This window comes from Homo sapiens, chromosome X (assembly GCF_000001405.40).
Source record: "Homo sapiens chromosome X, GRCh38.p14 Primary Assembly".
NCBI lineage: Eukaryota > Metazoa > Chordata > Mammalia > Primates > Hominidae > Homo > Homo sapiens.
In genome coordinates this window covers 75,096,709-75,117,217 of record NC_000023.11, presented here as the reverse complement: position 1 = coordinate 75,117,217, position 20,509 = coordinate 75,096,709, and the positions used below count along the sequence as shown (strand labels likewise).

Genomic DNA, 20,509 nt, shown 5'->3' with positions numbered 1-20,509 from the left:
CCAGAAAGATGTTACTGGAAAGGGGTCCTGATCCAGACCCCAAGAGAGGGTTCTTGGATCTCATGCAAGAAAGAATTCAGGGCAAGTCCTTAGAGAAAAGGGAAAGCAAGTTTATTAAGAAAGTAAAGGAATAAAAGAATGGCTATTCTGTAGGCAGAGCAGATTTTTATGGTTATTTCTTGATTATGTGCTAAGCAAGCACATAATCAAGGTGGATTATTCTTGCCTCCCCTTTTTAGACCATATAGGGTAACTTCCTGATGTCGCCATGGTATTTGTAAACTGTCATGGTGCTGGTGGGAGTGTACTAGTGAGGATGACCCAAGATTACTCTTGTCGCTATCTTGGTTTTTGGTGGGTTTTAGCCAGCTTCTTTACTACACAACCTGTTTTACCAGCCAGGTCTTTATGACCTGTATTTTGTGCCGACCTCGTAGCTCATCCTGTGACTTAGAATGCCTTAACCACCTGGAAATGTAGCCCAGCACGTCTCAGCCTTATTTTACTAAGCCCCTACTCAAGATGGAGTTGCTCTGGTTCAAATGCCTCTGATACTTTGGGAGACACTTGACCCGAGAAGCAAATTTTTTCCTCACTAAATTGTTGGTAGATTTCAAAAAGGTGTGTGTCCATTTTGCAGATGTCTGTGTGGTATTTCACATGGAGAGAGTCTTTATTCTGCCTTCTTTCAGCTCCACTTTTGAAACGTTACCAAGGGTAAAGTGGCCTCAAGGAAACTTTGATTGGAGTTGCAAACTAAAGAGTATCTGAGACAGGTCTCAATTTACAGGTTTATTTTGCTAAGGTTAAGGACCATGGCACATGACACAACCTCAGGAGGTCCTGAGAACATGTGTCCAAGTTGGTTTGGTTATAGCTTGTGTTTATACAATGGGGGCGGGGGGCTTGGGGTGGTGCGACTTCCAGGTCATAGGTTGAAAGAGTTAAGCCCTGCCTGAAGAGTTGAATTCAGCTTAAAGAAATGCTTGAGTTTGAACAGGGGCTTGTGGAATCCAAGGTTCTTCTCATGTAGATGAAGCTTTCAGGTCGCAAGCTTCAGAGATAAAGATGGTGAATGTCTCTTATCAGACCTTAAAAGGTGTCAGGCTTTCCAGAAAAGACTTAATAAGGGAAGGAGATTCTCTACAGAATGCAAATTTCCCCCACAAGAGACAGATTTATAGGGCCATTTCAGAATATGTCAAAGAAATATATTTTGGGATAAAATACTTTGATTTCCTTCAGGGCCTGTTAATCTGTCATATGATACTATAGCAGTCAGGTTGGAATTTGGCATGTCATTGCCACAAATTCTGCTTTGTCACTCTTAAGATCGCTGTTTTAATGTTAATGCTGGTCAGTTGTTTCTGAACTCCAAAGGGAAGAGGGTATATTAAGGCATGTCTAATTCTGCCCCGTGCCCCCCCCCCCAACACACACACAACCAGCATCATGGCCTGAACTAGACTTCCAGGTTTCTTTGGGGTCCCCTTGGCCAGGAGGGGGGCCATTCAGTTGGTTGGGGGACTTAGTAGCATTTTACTTTTGGCTTACAGAGTCCGTCATCTGGTTACATAGAATCGTTTGTCAAAACTGATCTTGTGACCAGTATATAAATTTAGCATTCCGATTAAGACGAAAGAAGGCACAGAAACAAGATGTGGAGCATAATAAAATACAGTAAAGAGAGAACAAAAGAGGAGTATTTGAAAAGAGCATAAAAGCCATTTAAGAAAGAAATTGGGTTGAAGACTTTAGGGGATTTAAGAAGCAAAGACCAAAAAAAAAAAAAAAAAAAAAAAAAAAAGAAAAGAGACAGAAACCAGAAAGAAAGGGGATGAAAAGAAAGTACAATTTGACATTTATAATGGGTAATACAATTTACTTCATACCCGGACCACAAATTTTATTTTTGTCATTTTTTTTTTTTTTTTTTTTTTTTTTTTTTTTTGAGACAGAGTCTCGCTCTGTTGCCAGGCTGGAGTGCAGTGGCGTGATCTCGGCTCACTGCAGCCTCCACCTCCTGGGTTGAAGCGATTCTCCTGCTTCAACCTCCTGAGTAACTGGGACTACAGGCGCACGCCACCACGCCCAGCTAATTTTTATATTTTTGGTAGAGACGGGGTTTCACCATGTTGGCCAGGATGGTCTCGATCTCCAGACCTCGTGATCCGCCCGCCTTAGCCTCCCAAAGTGCCAGGATTATAGGCGTGAGCCACCAGGCCCGGCCTATTTTTTGTCTTTTTAGGCATACGTTAAAAGCATAATCATCTCTCCAATATGGCTATGGTTTTAATTTTCTGTATGTTTATGAACAAAGGAAATAATCTTTGAATATTAAGTGTCCACTCTGAAACTTCCCCCTACTTTTTTTCCTTGTCAGCAGATTCCAGAGTCATTAAAAAGTATCACATGGCAGAGATTGGGAAAAGGCAATTCAGGACAGTTCTTAGATGCTGCAAAGGTAAGATTGAGCAAACATGTCTACATATAGCTAGGAAAAACCTGTAAACCCTTGGAGTATTTCCCAATTTATACTACATATTTTACATCTCCCTTTTTGTGTTTTTCTAAATGCTGACAAGATGAATAAGAAGGTATGTTTCTGCTTCTGGAAATGCAGAGAGAAGTCTTGATGTTTTCTACCCCTGGAAAAATCTATCTGAATCTCTTGAATCAGTGTCAACTAAAGTAATATTTTCAGAAAGCTTTTATAAATGTAATAGCAACTTGTTGACACTTAAATTTATCCTGTTAATTTATATCTGATATGTGAAATGCTTTATGTTTTTTAATGTTACCAATGTTCAGATAGTAGAAATACCAAGGGATTCTAAGCTTATTAGAGCCCATCAGGTAGGTAGTGCTGAGTTTACATGTTGATGAGGTTATTTTTCATTGCTAATATAAGTGAAAGACATCTTTAAAAATTCTCAGTGCTTTAAAATGAGACCCATAAATCTCCGTGATAGAAAAGACTAGAAAATTAGAAGACAGTCTAAATTTTGGGTATTTTGTTTATTTTTTCTTTCTTATTAATAATTATTTGCCATTAAGATACAAAGCATTGTTCTAATTTATGCAGAGGCTGTAGAAATGAATTACATTTTCCATTATTAAAGTGTTAAGGGGAAAATGTGCTTAGTTTTCTTATTGTCTATGACACCACTAAGTTTATTTCTATTTTAGTCTTTTGTTTTGTTGAAGACCTCACTCTCTTGTGTGGTATTCACCAGACCCCTTGATAAAACTTGTTGCTCAATCTTTTAGAGGAAAAAATGGCACAAAGAGACATTGTCAGACCAGGAATTACCTTTTGATGTTTTCCTTTTACAAAGTGCTTTGAGATTATTGATCCAAAAATCAATATCCTGTTTATGGCAATCACTTTTTCTATCTCAACTGGTGAGAGCAAGAAGGCACTTTTTGCTTTTTGTAACTCCATTTTCATAGCTTGGCCCAGAGCTGATATTGCTATGCTATGTATGATATTGATACGCATTTGTGTTTGTAAAGAACTGTGCCCTTGTTCATTAATTATTGATTATTATAGCTACTGAAAAATCATCTAATCCAACAAGTATTGAAACTTACCTTGCCCGTGTGTAAGATACTGTGGTATGTTCCATGGGAGATACAAAGATAAAAGACACTGTCTCTGATCTTTAGAAATTTATCGTGTAATAAGAAAGGCAAAACAGTGTATGCAAATGACTACAATATAGGCATAAGACAGACTATGAGATATTAAAAAATACCTTGTTTCTAAATGTATATATGAGCAAGTACAACAAGAAAAAGAATCAGTTGTTTAAAATTAACTGTGTTAACTATAAAAAAGAAATGTATACACAAGGAAAGCAAGTGAGATATAAATTAACTGCATATTATACTTGCTTGCCAATAATGGAATAAGAGATTATCGGCACTATAGTAGTGAATGACACTGGGAAAGCCAGTATAAGTCAAGTAGAAGTGTAAAACAGGTTAAATCCTTTAAACGTGAGTTTCAAAAGCTATTTAGAGATAGTGACTTCAGTATGAGTTTGTTGTATCTTAATATTTTTAACATAAATTTAGCTATAAGTTAATTGTGGAGGTGTTTTGCTTTACTATGCCAGACTAAATACTATACCTGTGAATTTGTTTTGGAAACGTTCATTAGATTAGACTGTTCAAGCCAAATTGTGAAACATCTGAAATTCTGTAATAGCTAACGGACTGCTTGGTATCATCTTCAATTAGGCTCTCCAGGTATGGCCACTGATAGAAAAGAGGACATGTTGGCATGGTCATGCAGGAGGAGGACTCCACACAGACCCAAAAGAAGGGGTAAGAGCCAGTAACAAGTAACTGGAAATTCTTGATGATTGTCCTTGCACAGAAGATATATGTATTTAAGATTATAATATCCTAGAATATTTTGATTGACTCATCTAACTGCATGTTCTCTAATGAAAAAAAAAACATATTAATTGACCATAGTTTATAGATGATATTTTCTCGGACTTAAAGATTTATGATTGACTAAAAAAGAAAAGTTATTTATCCACCTAAATGTTTTAGTTCTTTAAAATAGCATCATTTGAGGTTGTTATGTAATTTAGCCTTATAATAAGTAAGCAAATTAGATTTAGCACCTAAAAAACAATTTGTGTGTGTGCGTGTGCTTCAAGGTTAATGTTTCCCCTTCTATACACTTAGAGAAATCCTAGAATATCCCCTAGCTTCATGGTAAATCCTCTATCTACCTGATCCACCTAGTTATCCACATTCTTTATCGTTATTATTATCATTATACAGACATGCTAAGCAGTAGGGCTGTTGAAATAGAAAGACTTGCACTATATATTTTTTCTCAGTAAGTGAAAAATGTCATTGGAATACTGTTATACAGTATTACATCTGGCCCTTTTTCTCTGAGCTTGCCTTTATTTTCTTCCTCTGGCTTGACCCAATCAGTATATACATGTTATTTCTAAGTAGAAATGATATTTTCAGGGTTGGTGGTCAAGTGAACAAATTTTATGTAAAAGTACTCTTTAAATTGCAAAGAGAGAAGTAAATGTTAATTATTTTATTCATAGAAAGTGATTGGCAGGAAACAGTTTTCAGTGCTTTTTTCCATTCTTTGATTCCTAGTACAGTTCTTTCAAGGAACTCAAAACACTTCACATTCATGTTTCTGTCCCATTTTTGTACATTATCCTTCATAGCTGATTTTTAAAACTGCAAAGTATCATAAAATAAATTTTAAAATATTAACCCAAATAGTGAGATTTGTTTGTCTTTGCATTAGTCTTTGGTATGATATTTGCCAGTTTTCAGGATCATCTGTCACCAAGGCCTCTTAAGGATAGTTGCTAATAATCTAAACACAACCAAAAACATGTTGACTTAATAAAGGAGAAGCAGCTACTTCTTTTAGGCTCAAGCAGTATAAACTTCAAGACAGTTTCTTTCTGCTCCAGTAAAATAAAGCAACACTCATCGTAATACTTTATAGTTAGTCTGTAGCCCTTTGTTTGTTTTCCCTTGCCATCTTTGTATTAGTTTAGCCTTTTTATCGAATTGGAATCATAGAATCATATAGATTGGAGACCATGTCAGAAAATAGTGTGGAGTTGTAGTTAAGAGCTTGAGCTCTGGAGCCAGACTGCCTGGATTTGAATTGTGGCTCCATCACTTGCTAGTAGAATGACCTTGAGCTAGTTACTTAATCTCTGTGTACTTCAGTTTCTTCATCTGTAAAATGGAGATGATAATTTTGAAGGGGATTTAAATGAGTTAACTCCTCACACCATGTTAAAGCTCTTAAATAGTGCTTGACACATAGTAAGTGCTCAATAAATTTTAGCTGCTGTTGTTATAATGTGAGATTGTAAGGCCTGTCCTCTACCATAATCCATTTATTTAAAAAGTATATATTGAATACCTTCTTTGTGCTAAACTCTGTGTTAAGTACTGGAGATATGCAAGACAAAATCTCTGCTGTCTAGAAACTTAACAACATGGCAGAATATGTAAACTGCCATGTAGAAGTTTTATCACTGTGACAAATAATAGATTTTACCTTATAACCAACTGAAATCTGTAGTGCTTTACTTTTTGTGTGCTTGTTTATAGAGAAGGGATCTCTCTGTGTTGCCCAAGCTGCTCTCGAACTCCTGGGCCCAAGCGATTCTCCCACCTTAGGCTCCCAGAGTAGCTGGGACTACAAGTGTGCACCACCAAACCCAGCTTTGCTTCCCTTTTTATTCATTTACATGTGTGTGTTCTTAACAGCTAACAATCAGTATTAATAATGCTGCTTGGAATTTATTTAAATCATCCATTTATATAGCATGGGATCATAAAGGGTTTGTGAAAAAGGAGTGGCAATTTCAGTATTTGAAAACTCCAGTTTTTAAAGTAGATGAATTAAGGAATTGTTTTATAATAGAATCCCCAGATTTTTAAAGGATTTTGGAGCTTTATTCCTGCATTTAAATTTTTATTTATATGCTGCTTTGAAGAGGCATCTGCTAGTAAATTTAGTTAGCCATGTATCTTAATAAGGACACAAATAATGAAGACCCTAATGAAAGGATTCTTTCTGAGATTTTGCTTGACATACTCTTTTTTATGTTAGAAACACATTCTTATTGATTGGACACAGTCAGAAGCTAGTAGTTTTTAAAGAGAAATTTTCACTTACTTAAGCAATTGGAGAGCTTGATGTAATCAGAAGAAGTGAAACAGTAACTTGGAATATTAAAAATTGGTATTAAAACTTGGAGTAACTTGGAGGATTAAAAATTGGAAGATTGGGAAGAGGTTTGTTAAAATGAGTGGACACATTAGACCAGTGGGCAAGCATACCTGGATGACATGGTGAGGCTGTATTCCAGCTCTGATTTCATACATAATCAAATAGCCTTATGATCTTCATTTGATTTCTAAAATTGTCTTTCCTTTGGGATAGAAAATTCATTGACTGGCCAACTTGAATATCAGTCTGGCGGGTAGTTCTTTTTATTGTAAATTATTAAATGGACTGTAAAATACAAATCCATCTTATATGTAGCATAATCCATTTAAGGAAAGGGTCTAATCACCACCGAATAAGTTCTTCATTGAACTTTCAGACCAACAAAGCTCGGAAAACAAACCCTGAAGTATAATGTAACAAAAATTGTAAAGCCTTTCCTGACAACTCATACATATTTTCTTCTCTTATCCCAAATTCACTATATGTATCTCTCCAACAACACAATAAAAATTTTCCAGTTATACTCTGGATTTTTTAGACATCGACTGAACTCGCTAGTTTTTGACCTTCTTTTTATAAATCCATTGTTATCTTTAATAGTACTGAAGTGGTTTCTTCCTTTTATTGCAGTTGTTGGGTTGAGGAGACAGTTCTTTTCTCTGGATAGTTTGCTTATCCCTGAAATTATGGACACTTCCAAATTTTCTTCTAGATTGGTTCTTTAGGGAGAAAACCTTCAGCCTATAGCTCATATTTTTACAAAACAGCATTCCAATTTTTTTTTATGTTTTTTAGTTCCTCACTACAAGTTTTGTCCCCAAGTAGTTTCTTTCAAAATCAGTCCCTTGATTCTATGAGGTATTACATTTCTTGCTTTTAGAATTTAGGAATGTCTGTAAAACCAGAATTCTTAGAGAAATTCCTCATCGGCTAAGGAAAAGGTGATTCTTCTACCTTTATCAAAAGATCATTTTTTTTTTCTTACTCTTCATTTTCTTATCAAGGGCCACTGGGCTTCACTCCCTTGAAAAGAACAAGCAACGGATAGAAAAATAGGCTCTTGCTTCAGTGCTTGACCTTTCCTGGCGAGAAATAGAAACTTACTTACCTGAGAAACAGAATGTGTATTCAATTTATTAATATACAGTTATCTTTAATATCTGAAAATTCTACCAAATGAGCTGCTCCAGCTGTTTTGGTTTTTTATTCTCAGGTCTTGTCTACATCGTTATTAGGTATAGCTGTTCACTTGTAGTACATTTGGCCATGAGGCAGTGCTTCTCTTCCTCAAATCACACTGTCAAATTGAGCACTGTCAATTCATGAGAAGTATAATTTGTGGCTTTCCAGTTACACCCTACTGAGTTTGGTACTTCCAGTTTTATTTGTGTACTTATTTATTTATGTATTTGTTTTTGACCCACCATACTGTGATTGTGCTATTTCATTGTATAGATGTTCTTTTCATTATTTCTTACCTGTCCAGCCTCATGAAGCTTATGAAGCTGTATGTTAATACCAAATAAGTAAATATTTAAAAATCTGTCAGAAGTTGTGGTGATTTAATTATTAGGTATTGCCTCTAGGATATTAATAAGAATTTCCCATCATGTGTTTGAAAATAGATACATTAATTAATTAATGGAATAAGTATTTAGTGAGTATTTCTGATATCAGTCAAGTTTCTTTTTCTTCTGATTTTTTTCTCTTGGGCCACCTCGTTTTCAGTTGCTTTCAGCTTCTCTCAGCCCTCTGTCATTTCCGAACTTTTTCTTCTAAAGTCATTTCTGAAAAAAAAGTAAATAAAATTTTGTTACTATTCCAAGATCTTAGTGACTCTATCTGAATTTATTTCTTTGTTACCATTGTGGTTTTTTTTTTTTTTCTGGATCTAATTGCTTCCTTTAACTATGACTATCTAATTCCAATATATAGTTGAGATTTTCTAAAAACTTTAATTCCTCATACTAATAGAGTACTAGTTTTACATTGCAATGGGGCTGTAAATTTGAGGCATGTTGTATATTCTGATAGCAGAGGAGGAACAGGTTCTCACCGAGGATCTGCTGTAACCACTCCCTGGCTACTGCCTATGTTTGGTAAGTCCCTGGGACTATGCAGTCAGCAGGTGGCAAAGCCAGCCAGGCCCACATTCTTTGCCAGCCAGGCCCACGTTCCTCCTCTCTGGGTGGCGAGTTCCCCCAGGCCTTGCATGGGTCCAGAGGTGCTGTCTGTGAGTCAGGAACTAGGGTCAAAAACCTTAGAAGTCTGCCAGGTGTTCTGTTATACTGAGGCTGAGCCGGCACTCATACCACAGGATGCAGTCCTTCCCACTCCTCTCCCCTTGCCAAAATCAGAGGAGCCTCACTCTGTAGCCACAGCCACCACAGGTCACGGGGAGTACTGCCAGACTACCCCCAATGTCCCCTTAAGGCCCAAGGGCTCTTCAGTCAGCTTGTGGTAAATGCTGCCTGGCCAGAGACTCACCCTTCAGGGCAGTGGGCCCCCTTCTGGCCCAGGGCAGGTCTAGAGATGCTGTCCAAGAGTCAAATCCTATAATCCGGTACCATCCAGTGCCTGCTTGGTGCTATACCCCTCTGTGGCTGTGCTGGTACCTAAGGTGCAAGACAAAGTTCCCTTCACTTTCCCCCCTGCTTTTCTCAAGCAGAAGGAGCTTCGCACCTAGCCACCACGGGTGGCAATGTACCGAGTCTCACCTGAAGCCAGCAATTCTCAGAGGCTCACCTTTGATGTAGTAACTGTGTATCACTTCTGGTTATTCAGGGCCCAAGGGCTCTTCAGTTAGCAGGTGATGAGTGTTGGTAGGACTGGGTCCTTCCCTTCAAGGCCGTGGATTCCCTTGTGGCCTAGGGCGTGTCTGGAAATGGGTCCAGGAGCTAGGGCCTGGAATAGGGCCCTCACGACTCTGACAGTTGCCCTATCCTGTTGTTGCTTAGCTGATATCCAAGATGCAAGACAAAGTCCTCCCCACTCTGCCCTCTCCTCACGTGGAAGGAAGGGATCTGTTTGGGAGCAGTGGCTGTACAACCTGGGGTGAGGGGAGAGCAATGCCAGCACTCCCTTAGCCACCCCAGCTGGTGTCTCAGTAGGTTGTGTGACCCTCGCCCTCAGCCCACCATCTCTGGGCCCAGTTCGGTACTAGGGCTCACCGGTTAGTTGCAGTCTTTATGGCTTAGACTGCCTTTCAAGCTTATTTAGAGCACAAAGCACTTTAGCCTGCAGGGGCAGGGTTTATGGGATCGATTACTCTCATCTGGCTAGGGCTGGTTTAAATGCTTCCTCTGCCGACGGGCATCAGCTGAGTTTCGTCCTGTTTCTGGTGTTCCTTTCTGCTCTAACAGGACAGCACTGAGTTCAGCACCTCACAGTTGCGGTGCTCTCCCGCTTCCAGCACCCAGAGATGCTCTCCACACCACACCACTGCTTCTGCGGTGTCGGGGAGGGGTGGTGTCAGCAATTTAGGACTGTTTTTTCTATCTCTTCAGTGACTCAGCAATACGGCATTAAAATCGGGTACTATGAGGGCTCACCTGATTTTTGATTCTTATGAAGGTGTTTTTTCTGTGTAGATAGTTGTTAAATTGGTGTCCTTGAAGGGAAGGGGGATGATTGGTGGAGCCTTATAGTCCACCATCGTGCTCTGCATCCCTTGATGATACTCTATACCACATATTCTTTATTCACTCATCTGTTGATGGACATTTAGGTTGATTCCATTACTTTGCTAGTATGAATTGTGCTGTGGTAAACATATGAGTGCAGGTGTCTTTTTTATATGATTTGTTTCCCTTTAGGAAGATACCCAGGAATAGGATCACTGGATTGAATGGTAGTTTTATTTTTAGCTCTTTGAGAAATCTCCATACTGTTTTCCATAGCGGTTGTACTAATTTCCATTACCACCAACAGTGTATAAGCATTCCCTTTTCTCTACCTCCTCACCAACATCTGTTGTTTTTTAATTACTACATCCTCACCAACATCTGTTGTTTTTTAATTATTTAATAATAGCCATTCTGACTGGTGTAAGATGGAATCTCATTGTGGTTTTAGTTTGGATTTCTTTGATGATTATTGATGTTGAACATTTTTTCATATGTTTGTTGGCTGCTTATATGTCTTCTTTTGAAAACTATCTGTTCATGTCTTTAGCTCGCTTCTTGATGGAGTTACTTGTTTTTTTCTTGTTGAGTTCTTTGAGTTCCTTTTAGATCCTGGATATTAGTTCTTTATTGGGTGCATAGTTTGCAGATATTTTCTCCCATTCTGTAAGTTTTCTATTTAATCTGTTAATTATTTATTTTGCTGTATAGAATCTTTTTCATTTGAGTCCCATTTGTCTGTTTTTACTTTTGTTATCTGTGCTTTTGCAGTCTTAGTCATAAATTCTTTACCTAGGCCAATGTCTAGAAAAGTTTTTTCTAGGTTTTCTTCTAGGCTTTTTATAGTTAGATCTTAGTTAATTTTTGTTTTTAGTGAGAGATATGGGTCCAGTGTCATTATTCTGTATGTGACTATCTGATTTTCCCAGCAGTATTTATTGAATAGATTGTCCTTTCCCCAGTATATACTTTTGTCAACTTTGTCAAAGATCTGTTAGTTGTACATATGTGGCTTGCTTTCTGATTGATTTATGTGTGTATTTTTATACCAGTACAGGCTGTTTTGGTTATTGTAGCCTTGTAGTATAATTTGAAGTCAGATAATGTGGTACCTCTTGCTTTATTCTTTTTGCTTAGGATTGCTTTGGGTATTCTGCCTCTTTTTTGGTTCAATATGAATTTTAGAACAGTTTTTTCTAATTCTGTGAAAAATGACATTAGTAGTTTGATAGGAATAGTGTTGAATCTGTAAATTGCTTTGGACAGTATGGTCTTTTTAACCATATTGATTCTTTCAATCCTTGAGTTTGTTTTTCCATTTGTTTGTGTCATCTATGACTTCTTTCATCAGTGTTTTATAGTTCTTCTTGTAGACATCTTTCAACTCATGGGCTAAATGTATTTCTAGATATTTTATTTTCTTGTAGTTATTGTAAATGAGATTGAGCTCTTGATTGGTTCTCTGCTTGTTATTGATGTATAGAAATGCTCATTTTTGTACATTGATTTTGTATCCTGAACTTTACTGAAGTTATTTATCAAATCTAGGACCCTTTTGGAGGACCATTTTGGAGGAGTTTTCTAGGTGTAAGATCAAAAAGAGATAATTTGACTTCCTCTTTTCCAGTTTGGATGCTTTTTATTTATTTCTCTTCTCTGATTGCTGTAGCTAGGACTCCCAATAAGATGTTGAATAGGAGTGGTTGAAAGCAGGCATCCTTGTTCTATTCTCATTCTCAGGAGTGTTTTCAAGTTTTCCCCATTCAGTGTGGTGTTGACTCTGGGTTTGCCATATGTGGCTTTGATTATTTTGAGGTGTATTTTTTCTATGTCTAGTTTATTGAAGGTTTATGCTGGATTTTATTGAATGCTTTTTCTGCATCTATTGAGATGATCATATGGTTTTTGTTTTTAATTCTGTTTATGTAGTGAATCACATTTATTGATTTGCATATATTCTTGCATCCCTGGAATAAAACCCACTTGATCATGGTATGTTATCTTTATCTTGTGCTGTTGGATTTGGTTTACTGATACTTTGTTGAGGATTTTTACATCTGTGTTCATCAGGGATATTGGCCTGTAGTTTTTTGTTTTGTTTTGGGTTGTTTCCTTGCCTGGTTTTGGTTTTAGGGTAATGCTGCCCTTGTAGAATGAGTTACGGAGGATTCCCTCTTCCTGAAATGTTTTGGAACAGTTTCAGTAGGATTAGTGCCAGTTATTTATATGTCTCATGGAATTTGTGAATCTGCCTGGTTCTGGGGTTTTTGGGTTTGTTTGTTTCGAGGTTTTTTATTACTGATTCAATTTTGGAACTCATTGTTGGTGGGTTCTGTATTTCTGTTTTTTTCCTCATTCAATCTTGGGAGGTTGTACATTTCCAGAAATTTATATATTTCCTCTAGGTTTTCTAGTTTGTATGCATAGAAGTGCTCATAGTAGTCTCCGATGATATTTTGTATTTCTGTGGTATCAGTTGTAACGTCTCCTTTTCCATTTCTGATTACACGTATTTGAATCTTATATTTTGTTCTTGGTTAATCTAGCTAGTGGTCTTTCAGCTTTATTTATCTTTTCAAAGAATCAATCTTTTATTTGTCAATAGACACAGGAAGAGCATTTGATAAAATTCAAAATCTCTTCATAATAAAAACTTTCAGCACAGTAGGCATAGAAAAACTCAACATAATAAATGCCATATATGACTTACCCACAGCTAACAACATACCGAATAGGGAAGAGTTGAAAGCCTTTCCACAAAAAAAAAAAAAAAAAAAAAAAAAAAAAAAAAAAAAACTGTAACAAGACAGGGATGCCCATTTTCACTACTCGTATTCAACATGGTACTGGAAGTCCTAACCAGAGCCATCAGGTAAGAGAAACAAATAAAAGACATCCAAATTGGGAAAGAAGTCAGATTGTCCCTCTTAGTTGATGATATGATTTTATATCTAGAAAAAAACTAAAGACTACACCAATGAAACTCTTACATCTGATAAATAAATTTGGTAAAGTTACAGGACACAAAATCAACATACAAAAATCAGTAGTCTTTCTATACACCAATGGTGAAATCGCTAAGAAGAAAATGAAGAAGGCAATCCCACTTACAATAGCTACCAAAAAAATTACTCAGGATTAAATCTAACCAAGGAGGTGCAAGATCTCTACAAGGATAGTTATAACATCATTTTTCACAGAAATAGAAAAAAGAATTCCAAAATTTGTATGGAACCAAAAAAAGAGCCCATATACCCAGAGCAATCCTGAGCAAAAAGAACAAAGCTAGAGACATCACACTACCTGACTTCAAAATATATTATAACGCTATAGTAACAAAAATGGCATGGTATTGGTATAAACACATACATAGACCAACAGAGCAGAATAGGGAGTCCAAATATAAATCCATGTATTTATAGCCAACTGATTTTCGACAAAGGCATCAAGAACATACATGGGAAAAGGACACTCTCCTTAATAAATTGTGCTGGCAAAATTGGAGTCCGTATATAGAAGAATGAAACTGAATCCCTGTCTCTCACCATGTACAAAAATCAACTCAAGATGGATTAAAGACTTAAATGTAAGACTTGAATCTGTAAAACTACTGGAAGAAAAAATAGGGAAAATACTTTAGGACATTGGTCTATGCAAAGATTTTGTGGTGAAGACCTGAAAAGCAGATAACAAAACCAAAAATAGACAGCTGGGACTATATTAAGCTTAAAAGCTTCCACACAGCAAAAGGAACAACAGAGTGAAGAGACAACCTGTTAAATGGGAGAAAATATTTTCAAACTATTCATCCAACAAGAGACTAATATTCAGAATATACAAGGAATTCAACTCAATAATAAAAAAATCAATTAAAAAGACATTTCTCAAAAGAAGACATATTGATGACCAACAAGTATGTGGAAAAATGTTCAACGTCACTAATCACCAGGGAAATGCAAATCAAGACCACATGAGATATCCTCTTCCCTCAGTTATAATGGCCATGAATAAAAAGACAAAAAATAACAGATATTGGTGAGGATGCAGAGAAAAGGAAGCTCTTATACACTGTTGGTGGGACTGTAAATTAGTACAGCCACTATGAAAAACAGTATGGAGATTTCTCAAAAAACTAAAACTAGAACTACCATATGATCCAGCCATCCCACTACCTGATATTTATCCAAAGGAAAGGTAATCAGTATATCAAAAGGATACCTGCATGTTGTATGTTGATTGCAGTACGTTTCACAATAGCTGATATGGAATCAATCTAAGTGTCCATCAGTGGGAAATACGATAATATAAATGTGGAATACTCTTAGTCTACAAAAAAGTGAAATCCTGTCATTTGCAGCGACATGGATGGAACTGGAGGTTAGTATGTTAAGTGAAATAAGTCAGACACAGAAAGACAAATATCACATGTTATCTAAGAAAGTTGATCTTATAGAGGTAGAGAATAGAGTGATAGATATCAGAGCCTGGGAAGGGTGTGTGGTTAGGAGTGGGGGATAGAGGGAGATTGGTCAATGGGTACAAACCTACAGTTAGATAAAAGGTGTAAGTTTTAATGTTTGATAGCAGAGCAGGGTGACTATAATTAGCAATAACGTGTATTTCAAAGTACCTGGAAGAGAGAACTTGAAATGTTCCCAACCCATAGAAATGATAAATACTCAAGGAGATAGATACCCCAAATACTCCGATTTGATCATTACATATTCTGTACATTCAACAAAATCTCACGTGTACCCCATAAATATGTAAAATATTATGAATCAATAAAAACTGTGCCTCGGACTCTGAAATGCCTCTTTGGTTTGGTCTCCAGTTAAAAAAATGCATTATTTTTCAAACTTTATAGTTTATCAAAACTAATGGAATTCATGTACTTTACAGCTTAATGGACTCATAATGCATGATTACATAACTTCAGAACCCATTTTGTTAAATGAAGTGGTGACATTTTATGCACTATTAAGCCAACTAGAATAATTTTCTTGCTCTTAGCCATAACTTCACTGTGTCCTTATTGAAAAAATTCTGGGATGTGTTGTAGAAGGTTTTGATAGAAGAGAGTGTTTCTAAAGATACGTGAAAGCAGGGCCTTTTTCCATTATTCCATCAAGAAAAGTAAGACAGACAAAACTCATGAAATGAGAAAGTGGTTGAAATGCCCTAGTTTGTGTTATAATGCTTTAAATTATATTTATTTCATAATAGTTCTATTGGGAAAGGGAATTTTAAAATTACTGCCTTAAAAGGTCTTACCAGTTATAAGAGCATGCATATGTGTGTGTATAAAATAAAACATTAAGAACTATACTTTCAGCATTTCATATTTTTGTCATCTTATGTATTTAAAGCAGTTCAGGAAGATAACTCTTGTGTTTTTACAATATGAACAATTTTATTTCTAATACTCTTTATGCGATAAACTGCCTAAAAGACTAGAAAAGTAGTTTGCTGAGTCCTAGAGGGATAACTATAATATGAAACTAACCTGTATTATATAAGGTACTGTCCTGGGCCTTGACAGTACCTTATATAATACAGGTTAGTTTTATATTATATGTTGACAATTTCCCCCCGTTCCTTGCTTTGCAAATCTACTCGAAATTATATAACTTCCCTCCCTAACCCCTGCTGAATATATGTGAATTATAAAAAGTAGAAGCTAGCCAACAACAACAACAAAAGGCCATAAAAAAGTATCAATGATTCCACCCACTCACAGCTACTGTTATTGACACTTTGGTGTAAACTCCTACATATATCACATTTTTTCCCACAAAAATATTTTTTTCACTCTGCTTTTTTCATTTAACACATTCCTCTGTCACTACATACATATCTGAATGGCTGCATTTTGTTGTATGTGTTCACTCTATTTACACTGTTCTCCAACATGTATCACTTAGGCTGTTTCCAATTTTGTTTCTATTAAAACAGAATTGGTATAAACAACCTTATAGCTAAATTTCCATTCCTTTATTCAACAAATACTCATTAGGTACCTATTGTATGTCAGTCACTGTATTTGGCTTTGAGTTACAACAGTAAGCACTACTGTTAGAGTGATTACTCATGTGGAATGTGCAGGAGAGTGGATATTAATCAAATAATTGTACTGCTGTTTATGTAGTTTATAACTGAAATGGATACTGTGAAAGAAAGGAATAATGTACTGTGCGAGAATAAGGCAAAGGACCCTGATGGGCTGGGGAAGACATTATTGAGGAAATGCTATTTGAGCTGTTGGTCAACTAGTTGAAAGAGGTTGAAGGGGCCACAGGGGAAGGTGTTAGAGAGAGAGAGATTATTCCAGACAGAGTAGACATTACTGTGTAAAGTCCCCATGACAGAAGGGATTATGGAATGTTTAAGGAACTAAAAGAAAGGCAGTGTGGCCTAAGCACTGAAAGCAGTGGTATAAAACATAACTGGAGAGGTATCCAGAGGCCAGACCAAGCAGAGCCTTATAAGCCATGTTACAGATTTTAGTTTTTATCCCAAGAATGATAGGATACTGCTTAAGGGTTTTAAGCTGGAAGGGAAATCTGATTGCAGGGTGAACTTACTAGATAAGGACAAAGTAGATGCAGGGAGATCAGTTAGGAGATTGTTGCAGTGGTTTACGCGATAATTGATGATAGCTCAGATGAGGTTTATGGTTAGAAATGGAAAGAAATAGATTCAAGAGATTTTTAGGAGATAAAATTGATTCAACTTAGAGCATATTTATAAGGGTTTTTTTTTAGCATAAATTCCCAGAAGTAGAATTATTGACACAAAGGGCAAAATTATTTTAAAAGCTTGTAATATATAGCAAATTGCTCTCCAGAAAGATTATTTCAGTGTATTCTCCATCAACAGTGTATTAGAGTGCTCATTTTCATATGCCCTCAGCAGTAATAAGCAGTATCTTTTTTTTTTTTTACTTTTTTCTTTTTCAGTGTTTTTTGGGTATGTTTTATTCTTTTTAATACCTTTTCCAGAAATCAAGTTATGATTTTAATGTTTAAATGGGGATTGTTTTGCCAATCATAATAATGTAGTAGTTTTAGAATATATATGTATTGGTCTACTTAGTTTGGTATTAGAAAATGTGGTTTTTATTCTTAATATTCTGCCTTTAAAGCTGAAAGTAAAGCAAAAGAATTTAATGGGAATGTTGCCTCAGGAACATGGTACAAAGAAAAAAATGTGAGATGGATTTAGATCAGATTAAGTATTATTGGAAAATTGCATTTGTGAGGAAATTTTCAGTAACTCAACTTTGTTTGATATAGTCAATACCAAGCCCTCTGCTTTCCTAAAAGGAGTATTGCAACTCAGCTCTACCATGAGTTTAGACTTGGGACTCCAAAGTGTTTTAAATAAAAAACTGACAAATAGCCAAAATGTATATAAATTTTCTACTACAAAAATGGAAATATGGAAATTTTTTTTGAATTTTCTGTAGTGTTTTGGTAGCTTAATAAATAAATGTATAGTACATGTCCCTTCATGACCACTAAATTACTTTTTTAACAATATGAGAGTGGCTAAAATTGAAAGTAAGACATTTAAGAGAAATGAATAACTTTTTTAAAGTAATTGAAATAATTTTTCTCTAAAATATTTTGATTTTGAAAGATATTAGCCTTAGATTCAGAATAAAAGTTATATTTGTAATGTTTTCATGTATTTCTCAAATATATAAATTCTACGTTATTGAATTATGGTTATGTTTGAAATGACATGTTATTCACTGCTTTGTTTTCTCTCTTTCAATAGTTAAAAGATGTTGATACTCGGAAAATCATAAAAGCAATGCTTTCTTATGTGTGGCCCAAAGACAGGCCAGATCTACGAGCTAGAGTTGCCATTTCGCTGGGATTTTTGGGTGGTGCAAAGGTAAGAAATTATGCATTGTTTGGTTGCTCTAACTAAGAAATACTACATTTTCTAGTTATGAATCCTGGGCCTGGTGTAAATCACTTTTGGGGTAGCATGACCAACTTTTAGGACCCTCATTTAGTTTACATAATTATTTTATGCAGTCATTAGAAATTATATGGTAATGTCCTGTTTATCTCTGGATCAGACTTCTCACAGAATTAGTGGAATTCACTCCTTGAAACCGTTGTGAGATATAGGAGCATTGATTGTAACAAAGCATAAGCACCTTTGTAAAAGAAGCTTTTCGGAGCCTCTTTGGCTCCGAAATAATACATATTTTTGGTAAGCTTGGTTCCCAGATCCCAGTAAATTGAAAAGAGGATGAAGCCATTTTAGGAACACTGATAGCCATAAGTAATAAGCAACAGCTTAATATCAAGAGAAAAGCTAAAAAAACAAAACAAAACAAAAGCCACAAAACCTGACTGTTTTGGTACGTTCAGTATAGGAGCCCTCTGCATTTCAGCAGCCTTCTCAGTTTGTCATTGTACTATATAAGGCAAAGTTATAATGATGACCTCGAGTTTTCAAGAAAATAAAAACCTTGTTTCAAATTTACTCAGATTTTTTTTTCTTTTTTTTTTTTTTGATACAGAGTCTCACTCTGTTGCCCAGACTGGAGTACAGTGGCACAATCTTGGCTCACTGCAATCTCTGCCTCCCGGGTTCAAGCAATTCTCCTGCCTCAGCCTCCCGAGTAGCTGGGATTATAGGCGTGCGCCACCATGCCCAGCTAATTTTTGTATTTTTAGTAGAGATGGGGTTTCACCATGTTGACCAGGCTGGTCTCTAACTCCTGACCCCAGGTGATCCACCCGCCTCGACCTCCCAAAGTGCTGGGATTACAGGCATGAGCCACCGCACCCAGCCCCCAATTTACTCAGATTTTAAAGTCAGGGAAGTACACGTTTGTAGGTATACTATATTGTCATGATGAAGTCTCTGAAATCAGACTGCTTGGGCTTTGCCACCTTGTAACCTTAAGCAAGTTGTTTAGTCTGTGTGCCTCAGTTTGTCCATTTGTAAAATAGGGTTGCTATAAAGATTAAATAAGTTAACATACAAAGGACTTATAACAGTGCCTGGCAGGTAGTAAAATACAAGTATTAAAAATAAATAAATTTAGATTTCCAAAAATAATGGTAAAAAGTGTTTGCTTAAAATGAGCATAAAGGAGGTTTGGCTATGATTTGGCTACCACTCTTATATATAAGGATTAAGATTTTATTTTAGAACCCAGTTCTTACCACTTATTTTTTCCCTATATTATGTATACTCTCCTTTATTTGCTTATTCTTTTCCCTACCCTAAAAATATTAATTGAGAACTTATACACACTACTGTTCTTGGCATTGCAGAGTGTTCAGATATGAACAAAGCAAATTTCTTTCCTCAAACCATATGGGATAAGGCAAGCTTTATTTTATTGCCCTAATAAAAGGTAGGTCATAAATGATTTAAAGAAGTGCCAGTCGGGTGTTGTGGGGTTTCAGAAGAAAGTTAGGAACCACCATCATGGGGAGTTAGGAAAGGTTTCACAGAGGAGATGACATCTGAGATAGACCTTGATTGATGAGTAGGATTATTACAGGTGTAGGAATAACATGAAAAATGGCCTAGTTGTGAGAGAGCATAGTATGTGTACAGAAGTGAGTAGTCTATCCTGGTTCCAGCGAGGGGAAGATGTTTCAGAGAATTCGGAAATAAGCTTGGAAAGACAGATTAGAGCTCGTAAATGTGAAATATTGTGACTGTGAGACAGAAAAATGTATTTAATTATGTGGGAAGTGGGAACCTGTATTTTGAATAGATGAGTAATAAGGTTAGAACTGTGTTTTAGGAAATTAATCTGGCCATGTGTAAAAGATGAATTCAAGTGGTGATAGACCTAAAGTAGGGATACCATTTATTTCACACATTCATTCAGCAAATGTTTACTGACCAGTTATAAGGCTCATATGATAGTCTAGATAAGAAGTAATAGCAATTTGTACTGAAATAGTAGTAGAAATTGCAACATGGAGGAAAATACAAGAGATACTGTGCAGTAGGGGAGATAGAGTCAACAATACTTAGCAATGGGTCAACTGTTAGAAGTTAAAAAAAAAAAAAGTAGGATTCCAGGATGAGAGAATAAGAATGCCTTTAACAAAAGTGGGTATAATCAGAAGGTCTTGTTTGGGGAAAA

At 36.2% G+C, this 20,509-nt stretch overlaps 1 protein-coding gene across 5 annotated transcripts in view; it reads left to right on the top strand.

Moving 5' to 3' along the window:
- ABCB7 (ATP binding cassette subfamily B member 7) overlaps window positions 1–20,509 on the top strand; it is a 105,236-nt gene that overhangs the window by 39,066 nt on the left and 45,661 nt on the right. The window contains exons 2-4 of one of the 5 annotated variants that reach the window (NM_001271696.3): window positions 2,387–2,464; window positions 4,246–4,332; window positions 18,157–18,276. In NM_001271696.3, the coding sequence (NP_001258625.1) occupies window positions 2,387–2,464; window positions 4,246–4,332; window positions 18,157–18,276 (285 nt within the window). Of the gene's footprint in view, window positions 1–2,383; window positions 2,465–4,245; window positions 4,333–18,156; window positions 18,277–20,509 lie in introns of all 5 variants that reach the window. The other 4 variants (NM_004299.6, NM_001271698.3, NM_001271697.3 and 1 more) reach the window with 4 other exon arrangements.